The sequence below is a fragment of the Homo sapiens genome, chromosome 11, assembly GCF_000001405.40.
Source record: "Homo sapiens chromosome 11, GRCh38.p14 Primary Assembly".
In the NCBI taxonomy this organism is placed as follows: Eukaryota; Metazoa; Chordata; class Mammalia; order Primates; family Hominidae; genus Homo; species Homo sapiens.
In genome coordinates, this window is record NC_000011.10 from 33,710,999 (window position 1) to 33,738,827 (window position 27,829).

The 27,829-nt window shown below is 43.0% G+C and overlaps 1 protein-coding gene across 8 annotated transcripts in view, besides 3 other annotated features; it reads right to left on the minus strand.

The window, feature by feature from the left end:
* CD59 (CD59 molecule (CD59 blood group)) overlaps nt 1–25,481 on the minus strand; it is a 33,470-nt gene extending 7,989 nt beyond the window's left edge. The window contains exons 1-5 of one of the 8 annotated variants that reach the window (NM_203330.2): nt 25,384–25,481; nt 22,497–22,612; nt 20,426–20,470; nt 11,381–11,465; nt 6,372–6,473 (exon numbers count right to left, since the gene is read on the minus strand). In NM_203330.2, the coding sequence (NP_976075.1) occupies nt 6,372–6,473; nt 11,381–11,447 (169 nt within the window). In that variant the 5' untranslated portion in view covers nt 11,448–11,465; nt 20,426–20,470; nt 22,497–22,612; nt 25,384–25,481. Of the gene's footprint in view, nt 1–6,371; nt 6,474–11,380; nt 11,730–11,918; nt 11,952–20,425; nt 20,471–22,496; nt 22,613–25,383 lie in introns of those variants that run through there. The other 7 variants (NM_203331.3, NM_203329.3, NM_000611.6 and 4 more) reach the window with 7 other exon arrangements.
* Nucleotides 12,998–13,087: an enhancer, noted in NCBI's record as "active region_4583". NCBI's record gives its function as "activates an Ori minimal core promoter by ATAC-STARR-seq in GM12878 lymphoblastoid cells {active_cell/tissue: GM12878}" and the evidence as "EXISTENCE:reporter gene assay evidence [ECO:0000049][PMID:35858748]".
* Nucleotides 21,455–21,584: an enhancer, noted in NCBI's record as "active region_4584". NCBI's record gives its function as "activates an Ori minimal core promoter by ATAC-STARR-seq in GM12878 lymphoblastoid cells {active_cell/tissue: GM12878}" and the evidence as "EXISTENCE:reporter gene assay evidence [ECO:0000049][PMID:35858748]".
* Nucleotides 25,074–25,543: a silencer, noted in NCBI's record as "silent region_3241". NCBI's record gives its function as "represses an Ori minimal core promoter by ATAC-STARR-seq in GM12878 lymphoblastoid cells {active_cell/tissue: GM12878}" and the evidence as "EXISTENCE:reporter gene assay evidence [ECO:0000049][PMID:35858748]".

Below are 27,829 nucleotides of genomic sequence, written 5' to 3' on the forward strand. Positions count from 1 at the left end.
GCCTTCAAGTGCTAACATGGAAGGAGCTTGATTTAAAAAAAAAAAAATAAAGGTGGGGGGGGGGCAGAAAAATAGGTAAACTGGACTCCATCAAAATTTAAAACTTTTGTGCTTCAAAGGACATTATCAAAAAATAAAAAGATAACTCACAGAAAGGGAGAAAATGTTTGCAAATCACATGTAAACCACCAGGTGCGGTGGCTCACACCTGTAATCCCAACACTTTGGGAGGCTGAGATGGGAGAATTGTTTGAGGCGGGAAGTTTCAGACCAGCCTGGTCAACATGGCAAGACCCCCTCTCTATTTCTTTTTTAAAGTCATATGTAAGAGCATAGTATCCAGGATATAGAAAACATTCTTAAACTCTACAATAAAAAGACTAACCCAATTAAAATATGGACAATGAGGCCAGTGTGATGGCTCACACCTGTAATCCCAGCACTTTAGGAGGCTGAAGTGAGAGGATTGCCTGCGGCCAGCCTGGGCAACATAGTGATATCCCAACTCTACAAAAATAAAAAATAAAAAAATTAGCCAGGCAGGGTGTTGCGCCTTTAGTCTTAGCTACTTGGGAGGCTGAGGCAGGAGGATCACTTGGACTCAGGACTTTAAGGCTGCAGTGAGCTATGATTGTACTGCTGCATTCCAGCCTAGGCAACAAAGCAAGACCTTGCCTCTTTAAAAAAAAATGGGCAAAGGATTTGAATAAACATTTCTCCAAAGAAGATTCTCAAATGGCCAATAAGTACATGAAAAGATGCTTGATATCATTAGTCATTAGGAACATGCAAATGAAAATCACAGTGAGATACCACTTTATACTCACTAGGATGGCTAAGATCAAGAAAATGGTAAATAGCAAATGTTGCAAGGAAGTGGAAAAAATTGGAACCCTCAAACATTGCTGGTGGGAATGTAAAATGGTGTAGATACTCTGGACAAATTTGGCATTTCTGCAAAAAGTTAAAGATAGAGTTATCCATTTGACTGAGCAATTCCACTCACAAGTGTATATACTTCTGCCATTCTCTGGAAGGATTCCCAAGTAATTTAATACTGTTATCATCATGGAAGAATACACTTCGTTTATGTTTCTATTGAGTTTTTCAAATTTGCCACATGGATAATTTTTAAAATATTTGAAACTTCATTTTAAAAATCATTAGATTATTCAGTAATACAGGAAAAGTTTCTATAAGAACATGCTATCATGGTCTCATTTTTGGAAAAATAGCCTTGGGCACACAGGAAAATAAAGGCCAGATGTATACACTCCAAGTATCTTATCGTAGTTTGAATTGAAAACTACGTTCACACACAAGTTTCCACATGAATGTTCATGGCACCATGATTCAAAATTGCTAAAAAGTGGAAACAACCCATATGTCCATTACTGGTGAATGGATAAACAAAATGTGATATATCCACACAATAGAATACTATGTGGCCACAACAGAATGAAGTACTGATACATGCCACAGCATGAGTGAACCTTGGAAACATTATGTTTAGTGAAAAAAAAGCTAGTCGCAAAGTGCCACAATACTGTATGATTCCTTGCATATGAAGTGCCCAGGAGAGCCAAATCTATGAAGACAGAAAGTACATCAGTCACTGCTGGGGCATGCAGGAGGGAGGAATGAGGACTGACTGCTAACAGGTTTCTTTTCAAGGTGACAGAAAGATCCTGGAATTAGACAGTTGCGATAAGTCATACAACCTTGTAAATATACTAAGAGCCACTGAATTATACACTTTAAAATGTAAACGTTCTGGTCTGTGAATTATATCTCAATAAAAACCCTAGATGCAGAACAGTGTATAGAATGTGACCCATTTGTGGAAATAAAGCACATATACATTGAGGTAAGTGCATTTATTTTTCTCTGGAAGGATTCCCAAGTAATTTAATAGTGTTATCATCATGGAAGAATACACTTCGTTTATGTTTCTATTGAGTTTTTTTAATTTGCCACATGGATGATTTATTTTTAAAATATTTGAAACTTCATTTTAAAAATCATTAGATTATTCAGTAATACTGGAAAAGTTTCTACAAAAAACACGCCATCATGGTCCCATTTTTGGAAAAATAGCCTTGGGCACACAGGAAAATAAAGGCCAGAAGTATATACTCCAAGTATCTTATCACAGTTTTTTTAATATTCAGAAAAAGCATGTTAGGTGAAAAATGTATTAGTTGAGAGAGTGGTATTATGGTAGATTTTCTTCTCCAAAAATAACTGAGTGCCTGTGTGCTAGATACTGGGGTATAAGAAGGTATTTGTCCTTGCCCTGAAAGTGGTTTCTTATCTTCTGTGCTGGAAAGAAAAAAACGCAGATGCATACTTCCTTATTTCAGGCTTGTAGCTAATTTACCCAATTCCATGCAGAGCTTGGAACACAACACTTCTCAGTTTATAACTGCAGGCATAACTGTCCTGTCCTCCTCCTCTGAGGGGATGGGTATCTGGATTGGAATTTAATGAAGTTTAGTCAAGTGGCAGAGTCCACATAGAGTATTCCAGAAATGGCTCTAGTTGCTGAAGTCTTAACTAAATAACTGGAAGCTTCTAATATTGTACTAGAGGCTGCTGGTGATTCAGACAAGTTACTGCTTTGTAACAGTAATTACGCATTGGAACTTGAAAAGCTTTAAAGCTATCAGAATTTTAATTAGGGAAGCCTAGAAGCTTGGGGAGAACAGACAGTAATTTATGAATAATTGCTACCAATTAATCATTTACTATGTGTCGTGCAGCGTACCAAAGTGCTTTACTTGAATTATCATATTCAAACAACAGCCTTAACGATGGTAATAATCTCACCAAAGCCAGCCTTGGAATTATCCACATAAAAGTGGCTTATATCAGAATCCCTGGAGTGTTACAGGTTTTCTCCTCCTCACTCTTTTTGAAGACTTCGGCTCAAGTCTATCTAAAGTCAACAGTCTTCAGCTGTCCTAGGCACCCTTAAATGTGGCCCTTGTTCAGAACGTCATTACAGCAGTGACCACTTGACACTGTCATCAGAGGCTCCTTCAAGACTAAGTACATTTAACCTTGCTTACACTTCCATGGTTTATACTGCTAGGATGCCAGTAAATATTGGTTGAATTAGCAGCCAACCTGTCTCTCTTCTAGACTTACTTTGTATAGCACCATCATATCTGTCTCTGTGCAAACGTCATAGCGTGTAGTTACACAAACTTACATGGAATAGCCTAGTACACACTCAGGCTATGTGGTATGTCCTATTGCTCTTAGGCTACAAACCTGTACAGCAAGTTACTATACTGAATACTGTAGGCAACTGTAATGCAGTGGTAAATATTTGTGTATCTGACCATATCTAAACATAGAAAAATACAGTAAAAATATGACACAAAAGATTTTAAAAATGGTACACCTGTACAGGGCACTTACTGTGAATGGAGCTTGTGAGATTGGAAGTCAGTGAATGAGTGGTGGGCGAATGTGAAGGCCTAGGACATTGCTGTACACTACTGTAGATGTTTTAAATATTGTACATTTAGTCCACACTAAGCTTATTTTAAAAAATCAACCCTAGTTTACTGCCACTTTACTTTAGAAATTTTTTAATTGTAAATGTTTTTACCTTTGTAATAAAACAGGGTAAAACACAAACATGTTATACAGTGGCACAAAAATATTTTCTTTCTATTCTTATTTTATAAGCTTTTTTATTTAAAAAAATTTTTAAAAACTTTTCTTGTTTTTGTTAAAAATGAAGACACAAGCACACACATTAGCCTAGTCCTACATAGGGTCTGGATCATCAGTATCACTGTTTTCCACCTCTTCATCTTGTCCCACTGGAAGGTCTTAGGGGTAAGAATACTCATGGGGCTGTCCTGTCCTAGGAGAGCAATGCCTTCTTCTGGAATACCTCCTGAAGGACCTGCCTGCTGAGGCTGTTTTTTTTTTTTTTTTTCTTTTGTAGAGACAGAGTCTTGTTCTGTCACCCAGGCTAGAGTACAATGGCACGACCTTGGCTCACTGCAACCTCTGCCTCCTGGGTTCAAGCAATTCTTCTGCCTCAGCCTCCCGAGAGGCTGTTTTATAGTTAATTTTTTTAGTAAGTAGAAGGACTACATGCTAACATGATAAAAAATATAGTAAATACACAAACCAGTAACACATTTATTATAAAATATTATATACTGTATATAATTATCAAAATATCAAGTATTATATATTGTGTTATATTTTAGTTTTGTAATAAACTACCAAACTGTCATCCACAGTAGCTATACTGGTTTGCATTCCCACTAGGAATGAATCAAAGTTCCCACTGCTGCTGGGCGTGGTAGCTCACGCCTGTAATCCCAGCACTTTGGGAGGCCGAGGCAGGCAGATCACTTGAGGCCAGGAGTTTGAGATGAGCCTGGGCAAAATAGTGAAACCCCGTCTCTACTAAAAATACAAAAATTAGCTGGGCATGGTGGCTTATGCCTGTAATCCCAATTACTCAGGAGGCTGAGGCATGAGAATCACTTGAACCCTGGAGGCAGAGGTTGCAGTGAGCCAAGATTGCACCACTGCCCTCTAGCCTAGGTGACAGAGCAAGACCTTGTCTCAAAAAAGAAAAAAAAAACCAGAAAAACAAAGTTCCCATTGTTCCACATCCTCACCAGCATCTGGAGTTGTCAGAGTTTTGGAGTTTGGCCATTTTAATAGGTGTGTCTCATTTTTGTTTACATTAACCATTTATAAGAAATTTTGGGATTTAAGAGCTGGAAAAAGATCTTGGCTTTGACCTCCTTTCCTCTCCTCCCTACCTCTGCTGTCCAACACATACATTTCATAAATGAAAAACAGAGGTGGAGAGAGCTAGCTGGTGGCAGGACAGAAGTCAGAGCTCTAATTGCTGCTGTAATATTCATTCAACACATAGTAATTGCCCTTATCGTCTCATTTGGAAACTATACTTAGTTTAATTATACTTAGTAGTGAGGAGTCCAAGAGACACAGTTGATCAAGCTAAAGAGCCAAGTCTTCTGTGCTCGTACATAATGACCATGTTCTCGCTAGGGGCCTTACTACGCTTCCTACATTAACAGTGAATGAATATGGTCTTCCAGTGGGGGCAGAGGGACTGGTGCCCTACAGAATCAAGAGCTCTGAATGGAAGGTTTGGAGTTTTAGCTGCAATCCAGCTAAACTATATCAAATTTATCAAATCCAGCTAAATATATCAAAATTATCAGATGCCCCTGTTTTTTTAGACAGGGTAACTATAATTTGTCTTTAGTTATTGAGGGATTTCTCCTTTCTGGGGAAGTTAATCATCTTTATCTCAGGTTTTTCTGAACATGTGGGTGTCCCAAGGCTTTTCTGAGTTTACCTGACATGTTCACCATTTCTTGATGTTGACACTGGGGGGAGCTGGTGTAGAAGGTCTAAGAGTACAAATAACCTTGTGGAGTGTTTTTATTATTAATCTCTTAGAAATCTAAGCCTGAGGGTTTTACCTTGGACACTAAGAACATTCTGAAACTGCCATTCCTCGCTGGCATCATTTGCACACATCGATTCTATCCAGAACCACACCCCAGCAAGAACAGAGGGCATGTCTTTGCTGGTTTCTTTCCTCTGTCTACCACTTCCTAAACTCTATTTTAACAGGGTGATGGAGGTGAATATTCTGTAGTCTAACAAATTTGGAAAATGCAGACTGGACAGGACTTGTGCATGTTAGCATTGCCCATCCCCAAATTCATGAGCACCTTGCTCTGAGGCTACCGAGCCCTGGCACCTGCTGTTGCCCCTCCCAGGCACACCCTTCCCTTCTTAGCCCTCTTACCTCCTACGTGTCCTTTGAGCTCAGCTTGAGTCTCCTCAGGACTCTGAATATACCAGATACCCCATGGAATGAGACAGAGGCATATATAATGACATTTAGGACAGCCAAACAGGCCTTTGTCATAATTTTAATTGTATGTGTCCTTTCTTTATCTTTGCATCCCTAGCTCCTAACCCTCTGCTGGGCACACAGTAGGTTCTCCAAGGTCTGGGAGGCAGCACAGGGCTGCTGTAAAAGAGCACAAGCTTTGGAATCAGATGGACTTCCATGTTCAATTCCTGAGTCGGTTACTTAACCATAATTTCTTGCTTAATCTGAACCTCCATTTCCACATTTATCAAATGGAAATAAAAGATCACCCTTAGAAGTGCAAAACATTAAATTTAAAATGTATGAAGAAAGTGCTTAGCCCAATACACACCTGACGCTAATAAATGGTAGCTATTACTTGATGCAAGCCTAATGAGGATTACAGTGGCACAATTTTTTTCCCAGGCACTTATTACCCCATTACATTTAGGAGACAGACAGGGGAGGCTCTTACCAGCTTTGGTAATGAGACACGCATCAAAATCAGATGAACAATTGACGGCTGTTTTGCAGTCAGCAGTTGGGTTAGGACAGTTGTAGCACTGCAGGCTATGACCTAGAATCAGGAAGAAAGTCAGGATCTCTTAAAGCAGCACTGACTTGTCCCCTGGCAGCCCACCATCTCCATTAATATGGGCCCAAAGTCAGCAACTTGTGGTATACTTCCACTCCCGCACAAATGTATAGCAGTTATATCTTTCCAAATTCAAACTACAGTTCCAGCAACATTTTTTGGACCCTGATGCAAGCACAAAGGAAATATCCACATTTGAATATCCATCTAACTGTGCAATTGAGAAGCTTCCTCCTAACCTGCAACTGGAAGGAGATTAGTCTGCAATGTAATGATGTGTTAAGAAGAAATTACCGAGAAACAAACAGAATTCTATAAGTGTCTTCCAAGCAATGAATATGCCCAATTAAATCACATCCTCGTGGGTTGATGATCAATGTCTGGCAATACCTATCTGCGTGAAAATACATTTTCAAAATGAAATATGTAAAATGTCATCACAGATTAGTATTAATAGATGAACATCTGCAATTGATTTGATGCGAGGGAACACTAATTTTGAACCCCAATTAAGCAAATGGTTATCCCCCTAAAAAGAATTCTATTCCCCTCATTAGTAGATGTGTATTATTATGCTGGACTCAATAATTATGTTATGAATTTTGTCAATAAAAAAATCTGTGAAAATTTTGTTTCTTATTATTGAGGTAAGTCTCATAATACCCTTGATTTTGCCTCTTGGTCTGCAAAGCTTAAAATATTTACTATCTGGGCCAGGCGCAGTGGCTCACGCCTGTAATCCCAGCACTTAGGGAAGCCGAGGAGGGTGGATCACCTGAGGTCAGGAGTTTGACACCAGCCTGGCCAACATAGCGAAACCCCATCTCTACTAAAAATAAAAAAATTAGCCAGGCATGGTGGTGCACACCTATAATCCCAGCTACTTGGGAGGCTGAGGCAGGAGAATCGCTTGAACCCAGGAGGCAGAGGTTGCAGTGAGCCACAATTGCACCACTGCACTCCAGCTTGGGTGACAGAGCAAAACTCTGTTTAAAAAAAAAAAAAAATTGCTATCTGGTCCTGTACAGAAAAAGTTTGGTAACCTCTGGGACAGGGTATCATTACTGAACTACCCCCTTCTAAGGGACTGACCGAATGCCAGGAGTACACACTGTCAAAGACAAGACAACAGCTGTGCACTTTAAACCCATGGGCATAGGACAGCTGGGTACCAGCAGACACAACGTGAGGGTCATCTTACATCAGAAGCAAATTGCCTCCAGTTCCCTAGTTTGAAAAACAATTATTGCTCCCAGTCAATTCTTAAGACTCATCCTTGCTAGCTGTCAGTTTTTGCTGGGTTATTTTTCCTTCTCCATTTTTGTAACAACAGTGACAACAAAAAGATGAGTTACAGTCCACACGTGTGATGGGGAGAGACTGAGGAAGCAAGAGTTGGAAGGAAATCTTCCTGGTTTGTATGGATACCCCCTTTTCCATCATCAGAGATAAACTATCTTCATGCCATATGACTTCTACCATGTAATCAGTATTTGGAAGTACCTACCTCTGTGAAAAGACATTTTCAAAGATGAAACACGTAAAATCTCACAAAAGAATGTCATGGTTAAACCAAGTGTGGGTTTTAGAGCCCAACAGCTGACTTCTAGTTCTAAGGCTGAAGGCTAGGTTTATCACCATGGAAATAGATTTTTCAGTGGAAAGTCCAGTGGAAGCAAGGTGGGTCCTCACTTTCTGAGCACACACAGGAACCCAGTTCTCTAGAGCATCTGAAATGGCCATGTCTGCCCTCACAGGTGTGAAATCCTACCCAATAGAGGATCCTCTGACTTGTGAAGGTTACAGATTAATGCCTTGAAATATTAGTTTTAAAAAACAACAACAAACTAGGCCAGGTGTGGCGGCTCACACCTACAATCCCAGCACTTTGGGAGGCCGAGGTGGGTGGATCACTTGTAGCCAGGAGTTTGAGACCACCCTGGCCAACATGGTGAAACCTCGCCTCTACAAAATATACAAAGATTAGCCGGGCATGGTGGTACATGCCTGTAATCCCAGCTATTCAGGAGGCTAAGGCATGAGAATCATTTGAGCTTGGGAGGTGGAGGGTGCAGTGAGCCAAGCTTGCACCACTGCACTCCAGCCTGGGAGACAGAGCGAGACCATGTCTAAAAAATAAATAAAATAAAATAAAATAAAAACCAACCTCCTCCCCAACTTTTTTGCAGATGACAAGACAGATGTCTGGAGAGGTGATGTGACTCACACAAGGACACCTGGCTACAAAGCAGCAGAGCTGGCGGCAGCCCTGGGGCCTGTGGGCAGGGCCCCATCCACCAGGCTTTGTTTGTTCTCCCCCACTGTCAGCCTGTGGCTGTCATGCCCGTGTGAGAGGGAAGCCACAAGGAGAAGGCGCAAAGATGCAATTTTTCTTTGGTCCCTTCCTTGTGCCAGACATGTATTCACACGCATGAAATGAAAAGAGTCTAAGATGAAGGGTGTTGTTCTTGAGACTGGCCATGTTTGAGGGCCATTTTAAAAGGTTACCTGTAGACATGGATTTTTGTGGTGGCTAGATCCCGGGCTCATTTGGCCTCTTAAGAAAGCTTTAGAAGGAAAGGCTAAAACCCATGGTTGGAACGTCTGTGGGCAAAAATATTCATGGCAAACATGTTCATTCAGTGTTCAAATATATGTGCATCTATGTGCTAAGCTCTTCATAGGATTGTTAAGAGAACTAGGCTCAATTATCTTCATCCCCACCTTGCAAGAGAAAACTAAGACTAAGATGTTAACTAAATTGTTCAAAGCCACACAGCTACTAAGTGACCGAGCTGAGCTCAAACTCAGGCTGTCAGTTCTAAAATCCAAGCTTGGTTAACCATGATGTTCTTCTAATTGACCTGAGTGGGAAGAGAAGGAAACTCTAGATTATGGTGGAAACTGAGGTCAAAAACAAGCAACAGGGCCAGGTGCAATGGCTCACGCCTGTAATCCCAACACTTTGGCAGGCTGAGGTAGGTGGATCATTTGAGGTCAGGAATTCCAGACCAGCCTGGCCAACATGGTGAAAGCCCGCCTCTACTAAAAATACAAAAATTAAAAAGTAAATAAAAAAAAATACAAAAATTAGCCAGGCATAGTGGCATGCTCCTGTAATCCCAGCTACTCAGAAGACTGAGGCAGGAGAATCGCTGGAACCTGGGACACGGAGGTTGCAGTGAGCCGAGATCGCGCCACTGCGCTCCAGCCTGGGCGACAGAGTGAGACTCCATCCCCCTGAAAAAAACAAACAAAAAAAAACAAGCAATAGGTCAGTGGACAATGGTTTGATATTTTAGCCACTAAGCCAGGGTAGACGAGGTTTCCCCTGGGCCATAAGAGGCAGAGCTCAGAGGAAAGTTCCCCTGCAGGGTCCTGAGACCCTTTTGGGCAGCAGCAAAGAAGGCCTCTCATCTGTGGGCATGTGAGCTTCACATCTCAATTCTCTGAGAAAGGGCTGAAGTGCACCCCAAGACTTGTCACAGAGAAGCTGATGGTCCCAAGCTTGCTCCATAAACAAATGCAGACTGCTGGAAGTAGGATGTCACTGGGCTATTAAAATTCTAGAAAATATTCCAACTTAAGCAGCAGAGACAGAAAAAAAGAAGGAACCAAGAAAAATGAATAAATAAAAAATAATTATAGAAAAAATATAGTGTTTTAACACAGGTGAACCACATTACAGTGCACCCTGGCTAGAATCACGGAAGGTGGGGAAGAAGGGGTGCCATGACTTCTCTTTCTGCTCAGAAAGGGAGAACATATTAAAGTGTGTCCTGGCGCCAAGTTACTACTTTGCCTTCATTTCCTCAGCTGTAATATGGGAGGTAACAGTACCGACCTCCCGGAATGGCTGGACGGATTTAAATGAGACAGGCTCTGGCACAGTCCCCAGTAAACAATAAACAGTGAATATATGGTTGCTGTTAATATTCTAAGACATGCTACAGTGGTGTGGAAATCTTTTTTTAAATTGCTCACTGTATTGCCACTTTCTTTTCTGCTCCCCCCACCAACCATATTTATAAAAAACAAAAAACCAGCAGTGGCCAAGATATTATACCAACATGACACAGGCAGACAACCACACTTGATCTTTACAATGAAGCATGTGTGTTTCCACTGTTATAGAAGTTGACTCAGAAGCACACAATTTCCTCCAGCAACCAGGGGAGGGGTGGCTGAGGAGAGGGGGTGGCCCAGTGACAGATGGCCTGGAGCAGGAGGGAAGAGCAGGGACTCTGTTGCCAGACTGTGTGTTCACATTCCCGTGTACCACTTCTGTGTGTTATTTGACAAGTTATTAATTTTGGGGAGGCCTCAATCTTGTTGCTTGTAAAACAAGGATAAAAATACCACCAACTCCATCAGGTTGGCATGAGGATTAAATAAGCAAATACACGTAAAATGCTTAGAGTAGTGACTGGCACATAAATGCTTCAGGGTTAGTTAGCTGCTGCTGCTGTCACTATGACCATCATCATCATTAAAACACAGGAGGAGCCTCAGAGCAGAAGGACTGAGCTCAGATGGCTCTAAGCAGAGTGGACCCCAAAGGGACTTGCACAGCACTCTAAGAATGGTATCCATTGGTGTCCCCAAGCAGCTTATGGTGACAGGAGTGAAACTTCAGCCGCCGATTGTTGACCCACCCCTGCCAAAAGCCACGCTGTAACTCAGGACGGGCTGTAACTCAGGACGATGCCCCACTGAGGACAAGGTCATAACATAGGAAGGAGCTGTCATACAACCCCAGACCTGTAACACTGGAAGGCAAAAGAACCAAAGCCAGGCCTGGAGGAGCAGCTGGGGCTGAAACTGAGGCTTAAGAAGGGAGTTCATGGCCAAGGCAGCCTAGATCCATGTCCTGAGACTGGAGCACTCACCTGAATGGCAGAAGACAGCCAGGACGAGCAGCAGCCCGAACAGGACAGACCCTCCTTGGATTCCCATTGTGATTGTCCACAGAACCTGGAAGGAAGGGACAGGAAGGAATGTCAGGAACGAACAAATGACTGCTGGTTGTCTCAAAAACCAAGGGCTGGAAGGCCAAGAAGGCTTCTGAGAGGAACATTTACAGGGGGAGTCAAGGCACACTGAATCCCTGGGCCATGCCCCAGCTCTGACCCACAGCACCATATACCCTTGAGTAGGCTCAGTCCCTATAAGCCCCAGTGTGTACTACCACACTGTGGGAATAACACTATCTTCCCCATCAGGGTCAGTGAGTCAAATGACAATATGAGCAAATTGACTCATATAGCCACTGTGGTTCCCACTCTACTGGCCCCACCCCAAGCTGCTGGCTGAAAGAGAGGGCCACTTCTCGGAGCCACAGCACTAAGTGAATCAGACCAAAGGGGTGACTCTGGAAGGCACCAGCATGCATTCAGCAGTGGAACAGGGAGCAATGGCTTAGCATACCTGGAAGCTCTGGCTCCTCACTGTAAGAAGTATAATGGGGACACTTGCTTGCTCTCTTTGGGGACATGAAGAGAGGTATTGAGCAACTTTGTAAGTTTCCATTACGTGAATGCCTAGATGTGTAGTGATAGCATCAGGTGAGAAGAAGGAAAGCCTGAAATGCCTCCAACCCTACTTTACCCAGTAAAGAAGCCAAAGCTTAGGGAGGTTTTGAACTTGCCTAAGTACAAAGCATCCATAGCAGAACTAAGAAATCTCCCAACTCCAATCCTACATCCCTGAACCCATCCTGAAATAAGGAGGTGGCAGTGCCTGTAAACCAGGGTACTCCATATTCTATTCTCCAGAGCCCCACAGGCCCGGACAGACAGATGGGTTCTTGGAAGGGTGAGTCATCTACCCTCCCTAAGTCAGAAATGCAGAGTTCCCTGGGGAACTGACAATCCTGACAATCATTCCTGTCCCTTCCTTCTCACACATCTTGAAGGTCATCTGCTACTTAGGAATTTGCTGACGCAGGCCAGTGGAGGACTGAGAAGTTCCAGGAAAAGGGCAGGGTCTGACATTGTCCAAAAAAGAAAACAATCAGTGAGTCAAGCCTGGAGATGGGGGTGGTGGAGATGAGAAAGAGGTGGTTTTATGATATGTGAGGAACCAGGAAGAAAGACAATTGTCATCTGGCCTTTCCTTACAAATTGAGGGCTCCCCACCACCCGCTGGGCTCTGAAACCTACAGCCTGCTACGGGACACCATCCCCCATGTGGACCTTCCCAGGAGACCTGGGCTCCAGCACATGCCAGCGGCTTGCTTGGTTCCCCATTTTCAGGGGTTTCTGAGTAGGAAGGGTGATTTATAGACTCAGGTTAGACAGGGCTCCAGTATACAAGGAACTGCTACAAGTGAGCAGGGAGAGGAAGGTATTGGTCTGAGGTCCCCGAACAGAGAGCTCCAGACACTTCCTAAAAGTTAAGCATAGCATGATCGGAGCCTGGGTATTATAGTGAGACCCTGTCTCTACAAAAATAAAAACATTAAAAAAAAATTAGACTGGTGTGGTGGCACATAACTGTAGTCCCAGCTACTTGGGAGGCTGAGGTGGGAGGATCGCTTGAGCCCAGGAGGTAAAGGCTACAGTGAGCTGTGACTGTGCCACTGCACTCCAGCCTGGGTGACACAGCAAGGTCCTCTCTCCAAACAAACAAACAAAAACCCAATGTAGCTACAATGTCAGGCATCCCCACGGAAGGAGGAAGGAAGGAATCTCCTGACTCGGGTTAGGCACTGGAAAGGTGTCAGGCTGGCAGGAGCTGCCGGTTCAGGACACTTCCCTTGGAATGGTCCTTGACATAAATCACACTGCCACAACACACAGGGCCCCTGATGGGGAGCTGTTCTTTGAAGTACCTTAGAAAGAAGTGGCCTGCTAAGAAAGCAGGAAGAACACAATGAAAGGGTTCAGAGCACAGGCATTCCAGTCCAATCTGGAGGCCTCTGAACAAGGCCAGATAGTTCTGGCTCTGTCACCTCTTTGCTATGTGTTAACCTCTGATCACGCTTTGGCTAGTAAGCATGGAGATAGTTACATGTACTGCATAGCACAATGCCTGGCCAAAGATGGCACTCAAAAAGCTGTGGCCACTGTTAGTGCTACTCAGGAGTAATGAGGTTACTTGAGGAAGAAATTGTGTGGGGAGGGAGTGTTGGGGGGTGAACGGTGGGAAGGCAGACAGAGGGTGATGTGAGGTGAGGAAGCCAGAGAAACACCCTGGGTTGAATGAGCAGGGGAGACCTCAGGCATCAAACCTAAGGAAGCCCTCAGTTTTCTGGGATGGTTGGGGAGTGTCAAGTCTTAGCCTCAGTTCCACATGACTGGCTGGTTGTTGCTATAGCTGATCCCATGACATGCTGCAGGGGAAGCCAAGACAGCAGAGAAAGGAAGTAGCTATGTGTAGATGCCAAGGTCGGGCTGTTCCATCAAAATAAGACCAGGCCTTTATGAACCACTGCCAAAATATGAATTTCCAAGAGCAAAACGTTCATATGGAGTATGTGTATGTGTATGGGGGGCGGAGGAGGGCGGGAGGCAGAAAAAGAAACAGCTGATTGTTTTAAAGCTATTTTATAAATGCCCTACAATGTAGATGGTAACTAACACTAAGCAAGATCATTTATGGCTTTTTATTTTTCTTCCTGATCCTTTACTTTTTGCCATCCTTTCCCCAAATATTCTATAATTAACCAAGTATTACTTTTACAATCAGAAACATCAGGAAAATTCACACATGACAATGTTCCTTTTCTAGTAGTCATAGATCATCTATCTTTTGGTAAAACTACTCCCTAGACTAAAACACCCTCCATTTTAAGGAAAAAAAAAAAAAAAAAAGAAGATGCCCATAAGTTAAGTGTAGATAAGATGGTAAATGAACCAAAAGTGTTGCCATTCCACCCAAACCAAGTACTTAAATGCAAGATACACTCAGAAAGCATCAACACTCAACTCCTTTCCAAACATTTCAGGATTCATTAATAACGGTGGGTTTGTCCCTAACGACTGTTCTAATAATACTGCTATTGTTCTGAATGATTTTTAATCATTCTAAAGAATGCACAACTGAAAAATCCCTCAAAGAAGATATGTAGGAACAAGTCTTCCCCCATGATGAAGGAACGGCAGGCTTTCCTGGGTGGTGCGTAAGTTGACTCTAAAGTCATTTCCGTAATGGGAGCTCCAAGTAGGCCTTTCATCACAGGAATAAGAAATAGTCAAGGGCATACAAACATTCTTTAAAATAGCAAAAATTTAGTGATACACACATCCAACAATAAGGAAATGAGTATACTATGGTACACTTCCATGGTGGGGAACCGCATAGCCAGGAAAAGTAATGGGCGTGGAAGGCTACTCACAATGAATTAAGATCTGCCAAGCAAATGGAAAGCAAAAAAAGCAGGGGTTGCAATCCTAGTCTCTGATAAAAGACTTTAAACCAACAAAGATCAAAAGAGATAAAGAAGGGCATTACATAATGGTAAGGAGATCAATGCAACAAGAAGAGCTAACTATCCTAAATATATATGCACCCAACACAGGAGCACCTAGACGCATAAAGCAAGTTCTTAGAGACCTACAAAGAGACTTAGATTTCCACACAATAATAGTGGGAGACTTTAACACCCCACTGTCAATATTAGACAGATCAAAAGACAGGAAATTAACAAGGATATCCAGGACTTGAACTCAGCTCTGGACCAAGTGGACCTAACAGACATCTACAGAACTCTCCATCCCAAATCAACAGAATATACATTCTTCTTAGCACCGCATGGTAATTATTCTAAAATTGACCACATAATTGGAAGTAAAACACTCCTCAGCAAATGTAAAAGAACAGAAATCACAACAAACTGTCTCTCAGAACACAGTGCAATCAAATTAGAACTCAGGATTAAGAAACCCACTCAAAACCGCACAACTACATGGAAACTGAACAACCTGCTCCTGAATTACTGGGTAAATAACGAAATGAAGGCAGACATAAAGATGTTCTTTGAAACCAATGAGAACAAAGACACGACGTACCAGAATCTCTGAGACACATTTAAAGCAGTGTGTAGAGGGAAATTTATAGCACTAAATGCCCACAAGAGAAAGCAGGAAAGATCTAAAATTGACACCCTAACATCACAATTAAAAGAACTAGAGAAGCAAGAGCAAACAAATTCAAAAGCTAACAGACGACAAGAAATAACTAAGATCAGAGCAGATGTGAAGGAGATAGAGATACAAAAGACCCTTCAAAAAATCAATGAATCCAGGAGCTGGTTTTTTGAAAAGATCAACAGAATAGACTGTTAGCCAGACTAATAAAGAAGGAAAGAGAGAAGAATCAAATAGACGCAATAAAAAATGATAAAGGGGATATCACTACCAATCCCACAGAAATACAAACTACCATCAGAGAATACTGTAAACACTTCTACGCAAATAAACTAGAAAATCTAGAAGAAATGGATAAATTCCTGGGCACATACACCCTCCCAAGACTAAACCAGGAAGAAGTCGAATCTCTGAACAGACCAATAACAGGTTCTGAAATTAAGGCAATAATTAATAGCCTACCAACCAAAAAAAGTCCAGGACCAGATGGATTAATAGCTGAATTCTACCAGAGGTACAAAGAGGAGCTGGTACCATTCCTTCTGAAACTATTCCAATCAATAGAAAAAGAGGGAATCCTCCCTAACTCATTTTATGAGGCCAGCATCATCTTGACACCGAAACCTGGCAGAGACACAACAACAACAAAATTTTAGGCCAATATCCCTGATGAACATCTATGTGAAAATCCTCAATAAAATACTGGCAAACTGAATCCAGCAGCACATCAAAAAGCTCATTCACCACAATCAAGTCGGCTTCATCCCTGGGATGCAAGGCTGGTTCAACATATGCAAATCAATAAACATAATCCATCACATAAACAGAACCAACGACAAAAACCACATGATTATCTCAATAGACACAGAAAACGCCTTCAACAAAATTCAACAGCGCTTCATGCTAAAAACTCTCAATAAACTAGATATTGATGGAATGTATCTCAAAATAATAAGAGCTATTTATGACAAACCCACAGCCAATATCATACTGAATGGGCAAAAACTGGAAGCATTCCCCTTGAAAACTGGCACAAGACAAGGATGCCCTCTCTCACCATTCCTATTCAACACAGTATTGGAAGTTCTGGCCAGGGCAATTAGGCAACAGAAAGAAATAAAGGGTATTCAATTGGAAAAAAGGAAGTCAAATTGTCTGTTTGCAGATGACATGACTGTGTATTTAGAAAATCCCATCGTCTCAGCACAAAATCTCCTTCAGCTGATAAGCAACTTCAGCAAAGTCTCAGGATACAAAATCAATGTGCAAAAATCACAAGCATTCCTATACACCAATAACAGACAAACAGAGAGCCAAATCATGAGTGAACTCCCATTCACAATTGCTATAAAAAGAATAAAATACCTAGGAATCTAACTCACAAGGGATGTGAAGGACCTCTTCAGGGAGAACTACAAACCACTGCTCAAGGAAATAAAAGAGGACATAAACAAATGGAAGAAAATTCCATGTTCATGGATAGGAAGAATCAATATCATGAAAATGGCCACACTGCCCAAAGTAGTTTATAGATTCAATGCTATTCCCATCAAGCTACCACTGACTTTCTTCACAGAATTGGAAAAAACTACTTTAAATTTCATATGGAACCAAAAAAGAGCCCACATAGCCAAGACAATCCTAAGCCAAAAGAACAAAGCTGGAGGCATCACGCTACCTGACTTCAAACTATACTACAAGGCTACAGTAACCAAAACAGCATGGTACTGGTACCGAAACAGATATATAGACCAATGGAACAGAACAAAGGCCTCAGAAATAACACCACACATCTACAACCATCTGATCTTTGACAAACCTGACAAAAACAAGCTACAGGGAAAGGATTCCCTATTTAATAAATGGTTCTGAGAAAACTGGCTAGCCATATGTAGAAAGCTGAAACTGGATCCTTTCCTTACACCTTACACAAAAGTTAACTTAAGATGGATTAAAGACTTAAATGTAAGACCTAAAACCATAAAAACCCTAGAAGAAAACCTAGGCAATACCATTCAGGACATAGGCATGGACAAAGACTTCATGACTAAAACACCAAAAGCAATGGCAACAAAAGCCAAAATAGACAAATGGGATCTAATTAAACTAAAGAGCTTCTGCACAGCAAAAGAAACTGTCAGCAGAGTGAAAAGGCAACCTAAAGAATGGGAGAAAATGTTTGCAATCTATCCATCTGACAAAGGGCTAATATCCAGAATCTACAAATAAACAAATTTACAAGAAAAAACAAACAATTTCATCAAAAAGTGGGTGAAGGATATAAACAGACACTTCTCAAAAGAAGACATTTATGCAGCCAACAAACTTATGAAAAAATGCTCACCATCACTGGTCATTAGAGAAATGCAAATCAAAACCACAATGAGATACCATCTCACACCAGTTAGAATGGCGATCATTAAAAAGTCAGGAAACAACAGATGCTGGAGAGGATGTGGAGAAACAGGAATGCTTTTACACTGTTGGTGGGAGTGTAAATTAGTTCAACCATTGTGGAAGACGGTATGGTGACTCCTCAAGGATCTAGAACATCTGACCCAGCAATCCCATTACTGGGTATATATCCAAAGGATTATAAATCATTCTACTATAAAGACACATGCACACGTATGCTTATTGCAGCACTGTTCACAATAGCAAATTCTTGGAACCAACCCAAATACCCATCAATGATAGACTGGATAAAGAAAATGTGGCACATATACACCATGGAATACTATGAGTTATAGTTCTTTGCAGGAAAAAGGATGAGTTCATGTCCTTTGCAGGGACATGGATGAAACTGGAAACCATCATTCTCAGCAAAGTAACACAAGAAGAGAAAACCAAACACCACATGTTCTCACTTGTCAGTGGGAGTTAAACAATGAGAACACATGGACACAGGGAGGGGAACATCAGACACCAGGGCCTGTCGGGAGTTGGGGGGTGGGGGAGGGATAGCATTAGGAGAAATACCTAATGTAAACGACAAGTTGATGGGTGCAGCACACCAACATAGCACATGTATACCTATGTAACAAACCTGCACATTGTGCACATGTACCCCAGAACGTAAAGTATAATTTTTAAAAAAGAACTTAAACCCCGTATCTCCGAGAAAAAAAAAAAATACAGGCACTTCTTATCAAGTTCCTGAAAATGTTTTAGATAGCAAATGTTCTGGGTATTTGGGTAGAAAATGTAATGAGTCTATTTCCACTATTTTAAGTAGGAAAACGTGTTACTGTTCATCCAAAACCCCAACCGGCCCCCCAAATATCAATTAAATATATATATACACCCACACACATTTGACCCTTGAACAACACAGGTTTGAACTGCAGGGGTCCATTTATATGCAATTTTTTTTCTGAAAATATATTGGAAAATATTTTGGAGATTTGCAATTGAAAAAACTGTTAGATAAACTGCATAGCCTAGAAATATTTTTTAAAATTAAGAAAAATTTAGGTATGTCATGAATGTATAAAATGTATATAGATACTAGTCTATTTTATCACTACCCAAAAACATACACAAATCTATTATAAAGTTAAAATGTGTCAGCCAGGCATGGTGGATCTTGCCTGTAATTTCAGCACTTTGAGGGGCCGAGGTGGGTGGATTGCTTGAGCCAAGAGTTTGAGACGAGACTGGCAAAACCCCATCTCTACAAAAAAAAAAATAGCCAGGTGTGGTGGCGTGTGCCTGTAGTTCCAACTACTCAGGAGGCTGAGGTGGAAGGATTGCTTGAGCCTGGGAGGTTGAGGCTGCAGTGGGCCAAGACACACCACTGCACTCCCACCTGGGCGACAGAGTAAGACCCTGTCTCAAAAAAATAAATTATTAAAACTTACACACACAAACACAGACCAGACATGGCACCAAAGTAAAGAGAAATGTAAACAAATGTAAAGATGCAGTATTAAATCATACTGCATAAAATCAACTATAGTATATACTGTTAATAATGCCATAGCCACCTCCTGTTGCTATTGCAGTGAGCTCAAGTGTTGCAAGGATCTACTTATCAGCAGGGATATGATTAGTATCATGTGATGCTAATTATCTGTGAGCTGTTTGCCTCTTTAAGAAATTGCACATCACAGTAAAAGGTGATCTCTTGCAGTTCTTGAGTATTTTCTTTATCGTGTTAAGCGCAATAGTGTAAAACTTGAATGACACATGAGACCCTTACAGGGTGCCACAAGTGATGCTGGCCACGCTCCCAAGAAGCAGAAAAAAGTCATGATGTTACCAAAAAACAGTTGAACTACTTGATATGTACTACAGATTGAGGTCTGCAGTTGTGGCCGCCTGCCATTTCAGACAAGTAATTCATCTTGTAAACAGACGACATAAACTGATGGTATCAATAACTATAGTACAGAACTGTAATGGATTTTCTCTTCCTTACGATTTTCTAAGTAACATTTTCTTTTCTCTAGCTTACTTTATCATAAGAATACAGTAGGCAATACATATAACACACCAAATGTGTGTTAATCAACTGTTTATGTTATCGGTAAAGTTTCTGGTCAACAGTAGGCTATTAGTAATTAAGTTTTGGGGGAGTCAAAAGTTAAACTTGAATCTTCAACCGTGTAGGTGGTCAGTGTCCCTAACCCTGCATTGTTTTAGGGTCAACTGTATATAAACATATATAATATATATTACATATATACGTAAAAACACACATATACATACATTATATATACACACACAAATACACATATATATGCACATATATATATGCAATCCAAAGAAATTGAACATAAAACATTTAACACATCAAATAATTATTTAATAACATTTAAGGAATTCACTCATCAGTATACTTACTACTGTGAAGTAGGTCTCAACTCCTACACCAACTGGTGCTAAAGACTAGGACGAAAATAAAAGAGGGTCATAACAGTGGTTCTCAAACTTTAGGGAGCATCAGAATCACCTGGAGGGCTCTTAAGTAGATGATTAGACTCCAGCCCTAGAGGTTTTAATTCAGGTGGGCTAGTGTAAGGCTCAAGAATGTGCATTTTGAGCCAGCACTCAGGTGCTGCGTTTCTGCTGGTTCAGGGATCACACTAAGAACCACTGGGTTAGAGGGTGACCTGGCATAAGGGCCAGGTTACTTTAGATTGGGTTGGAAATGTTTCTTCCAACAGGGTTATAAAAGAAGCTGTTAGTTCTTAAATATTTAGGAGCCGCTTCTACTTTTAAGGGCCCATATGATTATGACATTGAATGCAAGCCATTAGGCAAGACCTTGTGATATGGTTTGGTTGTGTTCCCACCCAAATCTCATTTTGAATTGTAACTCCCATAATTCCCACGTGTTGTGGGAGGGACCTGGTGGGAGATAATTGAATCACTGGGGACGGTTTCCCCCATACTGTTCTTGTGGTAGTGAATAAGTCACACAAGAGCTGATGGTTTTATAAGGGGTTTCCCCTTTCACTTGGCTCTCATATTTCTGTCTTGTCTGCTGCCAGTAAGACGTGCCTTTCACCCTCTGCCATGATTGTGAGGCATCCCTAGCCACGTGGAACTGTGAGTCCATTAAACCTCTATTTCTTTACAAATTACCCAGTCTTCGGTATGTCTTTATCAGCAGCATGAAAATGGACTAATACACCTCCAAAATCTCATGTTGAATTTTAATCCCCAGTGTCGGAGGAGGGACCTGGTGGGAGGTGACTGGATTATGGGGTGGTTTCTAACAGTTCAGCACCATCCCCCTAGTGCTGTCTTGTGGCAGAGCTTAGGAAATCTGGTTGTTTGAAAGTGTGTAGCACTTCCCCCTTTGCTGTCTTCCTCCTGCTCCCGCCAAGTAAGGCATTCTTGCTTCCCCTTCTCCACCATGATTCTAAGTTTCCTAAGGCCTTCCCAGAAGCAGAAGCCTATACAGCCCAAAGAACTGCGAGCCAATTAAACCTCTTTTCTTTATAAATTACCCAGTCTCAGGTACTTCTTTATAGCAGTGTGAGAATGGACTAATACACCTTGTTCCTGTGTTAACTTCCATTTGGTGAGCAAATATCAAGGGCCAGTTGCTAAGATAGATGCTCTTGACATAGTAACTGGAGTTAATCCTCACAATAATACCATAAGGTAAACTGAACCTTTGCCTCCAATTACAGGGGGAGGAAACAAGATTGAGGAAGAGAACTAATTTATGCAACTAACTTATGTGGTAGGTAGAATAATGCCTCTCTTCCCCAAAAATGTCCGTATCCTAACTCCAGGAACCTGTGAAAACAGGAGACCTTGCATGGCAAGTGACTTTGTAGATGAGATTAAGGAGATTATTTTGGATTATTCAATGGGCCCAATGTAATCCCAGGGGTCATTGAAAGAGGAAGAAGGTAGCAGAGTCTGTCAAAGACTCATGACCGACAACAGAAAAAGAGGCAAGAAATTTGAAGAATGAGATGAAGACACGAAGGGTTCCCTAAGCCAAGGCACACAGGCGGCCTTTAGAAGCTAAGAATGGTCCTCAACTGACACTCAGCAAAGAAACAGAACCTCAGTCCTCCAGTCACAAGGACTATATTCTACCAGGAACCTGAATGAGCACAGAAACAGACTCTCCCCTAGAGCCTCCAGAGCAGCACAGAGCCCTGCCACCTTGATTACAGCCCTGTGAGACCTGTGTCAGACTTCTGATTTACAGAATGGAAAGATTAATAAACTTGTGGCATTTGAAACAGCTAAATTTGTGGTGGTTTCAGCAGCAGTAGAAAATTATTATAAGGCCGAGTGTGGTGGCTCATGCCTATAATCCCAGCACTTTGGGAGGCTGAGGCGGGTGGATCACTTGAGGCCAGGAGTTCCAGACCAGCCTGGCCAACATGGTGAAACCCTGTCTCTACTAAAAAAAATACAAAAATTAGCCAGATGTGGTGGCACTCACCTGTAATCCCAGCTACTTGAGAGGCTGAGACACGAGAATCGCTTGCACCCAGGAGGTGGAGGTTGCAGTGAGCCAAGACTGTGCCACTGCACTCCAGCTTGGGCAACAGAGAGAGACTGTCTCAAAATTAAAAAAAAAAATTATTAAAATTATTATAGCAACCTCTGAACTGGAAACTGGTAGAACAGCATTTAAACCCAGGTCTAAGCTCTGAGTGAACGAACCATAGTTAAACTCTAGTGGGGAGACGGGAGACTTCTTATAAATTCAGCTTCTGAAATACATTAGTTAAGCTGAGGTCATTAGAGAAGAGAGTTGACATCAGTGGTGTTTCCACAAGATTCACAGTTGCCCATGAGTATGGTTACTCCTCCTAGGAGCCTGAGGCCTTACAGACTGAAGAATTTTAAGGCTAGAAGTGTCCTCAAAATAAAACCCAATGTTTTTATTTTATAGGAAATTAGTGGAGGCCCAGTGGGATGAAATTACCTGTCCCAAGGCAACATGTTAGTCGCAAAACCACCCTGGATGGATCTTGTTTCTATTCGCCAGGGGCTGGCAACTCACAAGATACCTAGTGTCAGCAATGTCAGAGAACTAGAGCTTTTGAACCCCAGGTCTGCGTGTCACCTTGGAGACATACACAATACCTGCTCTAGCCATGCCTGTTGAAGCGCCCAGACAAACATCCATCACTCAGTTCACGGAACAAATTACATCAGCAGGAAGAGACAAAGAGAAAACAACCATCATAACGGAAAAGGCTTTCCAATCCAGCCAAGGTTCTCATGCCAGGAATAACCACTCCAAAACTCTTTGTGTGATATACATATAAATTCTAGGGTACATGTGCAGGATGTGCAGATTTGTTTCATAGGTAAACGTGTACCATGGTGGTTTGCTGCACCTATCAACCCATCACCTAGGTATTAAGCCCAGCATGCATTAGCTGTTTTTCCTAATGCTCTATCCCCACCCACCCCACCTGCCGACAGGCGCCAGTGTGTGTTGTTCCCCTCCCTGTGTCCAAGTGTTCTCATTGGTCAGCTCCCACTTATTAGGCCAGAACTCTTTGGACCAAACAAATCTGCAGCTTCCCCTACAAGGGCCTTTCCTGCAGTTTGTTCCGGAATGCCAATCCCTAACTCTCCAAAGAGTCCTATCTCCGCACTCACGGCCCCTCCCGTGTTAAGTACACATGCAAAACCAAGGTTTAGTGAATATGTTTCCTAAGATATAGGACATAAGTAAAAAGAAGTCTTTGCCTTTAGAAAGCCTCAAGCACTTCTGGGCTTGGCAATGTCTGTGGCGGTTTGGCTGAGGTTCTTAAAGAGGTGGCCCAGAATTTTCCATGCTCTACTTTTCAAGAGCTTCTACCAGCAGCTGTCAAAGATGAATGCCATTAGGCACCCCACTCTCTCACCCTAAGATCCATTTTATTTAGGCTTTTATCTCCTAAGCCACTCAGCTAATGGGATGTTTTTCTTACAGCTAAGTTCAGCAAACAGTTTCTAGTTTCCACTGTGAAAATACAGAGGCCACAAGTTTTAGGACTGTTTGGCTTGTAGGGGAGGCAGCCTCCCTTTCTGCCTCTCCTTCATAAACTGCCACGTAAATAGCCACATTTTGGCAAACGTTGCCATCTCCCTCAACATTCGGGGCTCTGTGCCTTCTTCAGGGAACTGGGAGTAAACCGCCAGGAGTGGAGAACTTGAACAACTGCTCAGGGATCGCAGGGTACCTGAAATAATTAGCAGCCGCCGCGTTTGTGCTGAGCGCTTTCCGTCAATCATCTCAACCACCCTGTGAAGTGAAGCCTATTGTTTTACCCATCAAGTGCTGTTAAATACTTCCAGAAATGACCAGTGAAGAGCCTGGGTATCACTAAACGGCCATAAAAGGCACACTGCTTAATGTTGGTTTTTTTTGTTTGTTCTTTGTGGGTTTTGTTCGTTTTTGAGGCGGAGTCTCGCTCTTATTGCCCAGGCAGTAGGGCAATGGCGCGATCTCGGCTCACCGCTACCTCAGCCTCCCGGGTTAATGTTGTTTTTTGAAAAGTCAGCAGTCAGACTCTAAGAAGGGTGCGGCCCGAGCCGACCCAAGAAAACAAAACATCACGTTGTACTTAAAACGTCCGTTTCGGCCGGGCGCGGTGGCTCACACCTGTAATCCCAACACTTTGGGAGGCGGAGGCGGGCGGATCACGAGGTCAGGAATTCAAGATCAGCCTGACCAACATGGGAAAACCCCGTTTCTACTAAAAATACAAAATTTAGCCAGGCATGGTGGCGCATGCCTGTAATCCCAGCTACTCAGGAGGCTGTGGCAGGAGAATCGCTTGAACCCGGTACACGGAGGTTGCGGTGAACCCAGATCGCGCCACTGCACTCCAGCCTGGGCAACAGCGAAACTCCATCTCAAAAAAAAAAAAAAGTCCGTTTCGCCCGACACCTGCTTTTCAAAATTACACATTTAGACCGCGAGGGGAGAGAGGAACTGCCGTGACCACGGAGGGCTGGCCTTTCCCCCGGCGCAGTTTCTCTGGACCGCTAGAGCTTCCCTTGAGACGAAAGCGATGGCAGGGGCCCGGGTGCGAGGCTGCCCCCGAGGGAATGGGGGGCGCGACGGGGGTAACGGGGCTGCTTCTGGGAGAGGGCGCGCTCCCCGTTTCTCCTTCCTCGTAGATAAAATGAAGCCAGCGTTCGGCTAGGACACCGGGCCGCGGTGACGGGTTGGAAGGGCCAGGCCTCGGGAGGCTCGCCCGGCAGGGGTCGAGTGGAAAGCGAGGACGGGGGTAGCCCCCACAGACCCTCCGCCCGGGCCCAGACTGCCGCCGCCACCTCGGCTCGGCTCACCCAAACCCCAGCAGGCCTTCGGGCCTTCTTACCTGGCGGCGCCCAAGATCCTCTTCCAGCCTCGAGCCGCTTCTGCGCTCAGCCCCCGCATTCTTTCGCTCCAGCCCGCAAGGCTCCGCCCCCCGGCCCCGCCCCTCAGGATGCCCTTGCCCTCCCAGGCTCCCGGCTCCCGCACCGCGCAGCCGCACCTCGGCAGGAACCTCCTCCTCTCCCTCCACCCCCGCGCGGAGCTCAGCCTCCTGGCCCAGGTTCTGAGAAGGCCGGGTGGCCAGGACCCAATGAGCACCTTCAAAACCCCAGGGAACTGAAAGTTTGGGGCGTCCTCCTCGGATTTGCTATGGGACATAAAAACAGTAGGAAACTTCCAAAGACTTCTGATTTTCCCTTTTACTTTTTTTTTAAGTATATTAAAATGTTTTTCAAAACGTTTCTGTGCGTCTTGCTGGTGCCCTGGGTGCCCCAGGGCCTGGCTATCGGGCTATGCGGCCCTGCTGCAGTCTGAAGCTGCTTCCTACTGCGAGGCTTGGGCAGCATCCAAATAGCCATCAGCCACAGCCGCATCCGTATCCGTGCCTTGTGACTTGTTTGAGACCCAAACAAAATGTTATGCGTTTAAAAGCTTACTGGGCTGCTCGGGGACCAGTGTTTTGAATGAACCTCTTCGAGTGTCTCTATCAACTTAGCTGGTAGCTACTGTTCCCCAGCAGCCACCAGAGGCAGGGACAGAAGAGCAAGACCAGGGGATCCGCCTGCATGAGTCTGTCCCTTCAGGGTGGCCTCGCCTCAGGGACTGGATTGTAGGCATGGTTTCAATAACACAGCGGTGTGAAAGTTTAAGAGTTTTTAGTACTTACGGACCCTGGGTGGTACACAGCTTGCCTAGAGGACACACACACACACACACACACACACACACACACACACACGGAGATCAGGGAGAACAGGGAGAGGGAAGGGAGGAACGGACCTTTGGGCCAGCAACTTTATCCAGTTAGGTTTCCTCTGGAGAGCTCTAACTGGTGGATTTAAAAGCAAGCAGGTGAAAAGGCAGAGGTGGGAGGAACTTGAACCAGAGTTTGAAGCTGCAGTAGTGCCCTGTTATCACATCACTGCATGTTTATCTCTGGCCACCAGCTAGAGCCATTTGCGTGGGGTATAGTACTGGAAACTGTCAATGGTGACTGAGACTTGCTTCTGTTATTAAAAGTTAAACATATTCAAAAATGGATGCTGAGGTAACAAAAAATTATAAGCACTCACCAGAACCGCAACCACCATTTGGAACATTAGTTTTATGTGCAGATGTAATTAGAAGTTTCCATTTGCTATTATATTTGGAAAGTGTCCCACTCACTGCAGAACTGACTGTAAGAACGCCATAGGAGGGAGGGTGGGGCTACAGGCCAAAAGTACAAGTCTTCCTCCAAGAGGATGGCCTCTGTTAGAAAGCATGAGACACACTTTGAGGGTCAGGGTGAGAAGATATTACATCTCAGGGCTGCTTGTGTTGAACTGGTCAGGGAAGAAGGCATGAGATAAAATTTAAGCAGGGGGAATCATAGATTACTGAATGTCTTGCAGGGAAAATCATATAGTAACTGTCTTGACGCTTCTACTGTTATTCTGATGGCTTTGGGATGTCAGGGAATGAGTTCCATTTGGTGGTGCTCAAATCCTGGTATTCCTCTATACAAGTGGGAGTTTTTTAAATCAGGATGACTTGCTTTGATATTTAAAGCATGTCTCCTTAAAACAGCTAATACTGTATATTTCCCAAGATGGATTCCAAAGCTCTTTTGTGTACATACCTTACACACATCCTGTTAGCTATTCCTTCCTTGACACGCTTGGCTTCTGAGATGCCACTCTCTCCTAGTTTGGTTCCCTAGAATGGTTTCTTGACCATTCGGTCTTGAGATTCTTTTCCTTTACCCACTAATAATTTGGTGTCCCAGGATTAGACTGAGAACCATGGCTGTGTGTGCTCCCTGGGAGACTATAGTGTATCTACTCTTTTACCTTGGGATGTATGTTTGCAGATGATTCAAAAGTCTGTCTCCATCCCTGACCACTCCCCCTATCTTCATATTCATATCCAGCTGACTGCTGGACATCTCCACTTATATGTTCCACAGACATCTTGAACTTAATGTGCACAAATCTGAATTCATCTTTAAAGAGTGACTGCTTTTCCTGAATTTTTTTCATAAATGAAGACAGAAACCTAGGAATCAACGTTGACCTCTTCCACTCCCTCACATCTACTCAGCCATTCCTGCCTATTTTACCATTTCAATATCTCAATTTCATTCCTTTTTCACATTGCTACTGTGCTAATTCAGATCTGTAGTTTGCGTTGCTTGAGCCATTACAATTCCTTAATACCAGGTCCCCATGTTGCCCATGTCAATTCCTGCATCCCCTGCCCCTTCTCTGCTTGCCCTCCACACGGCTGCTAGAGACCTGGCTAGTTTACCT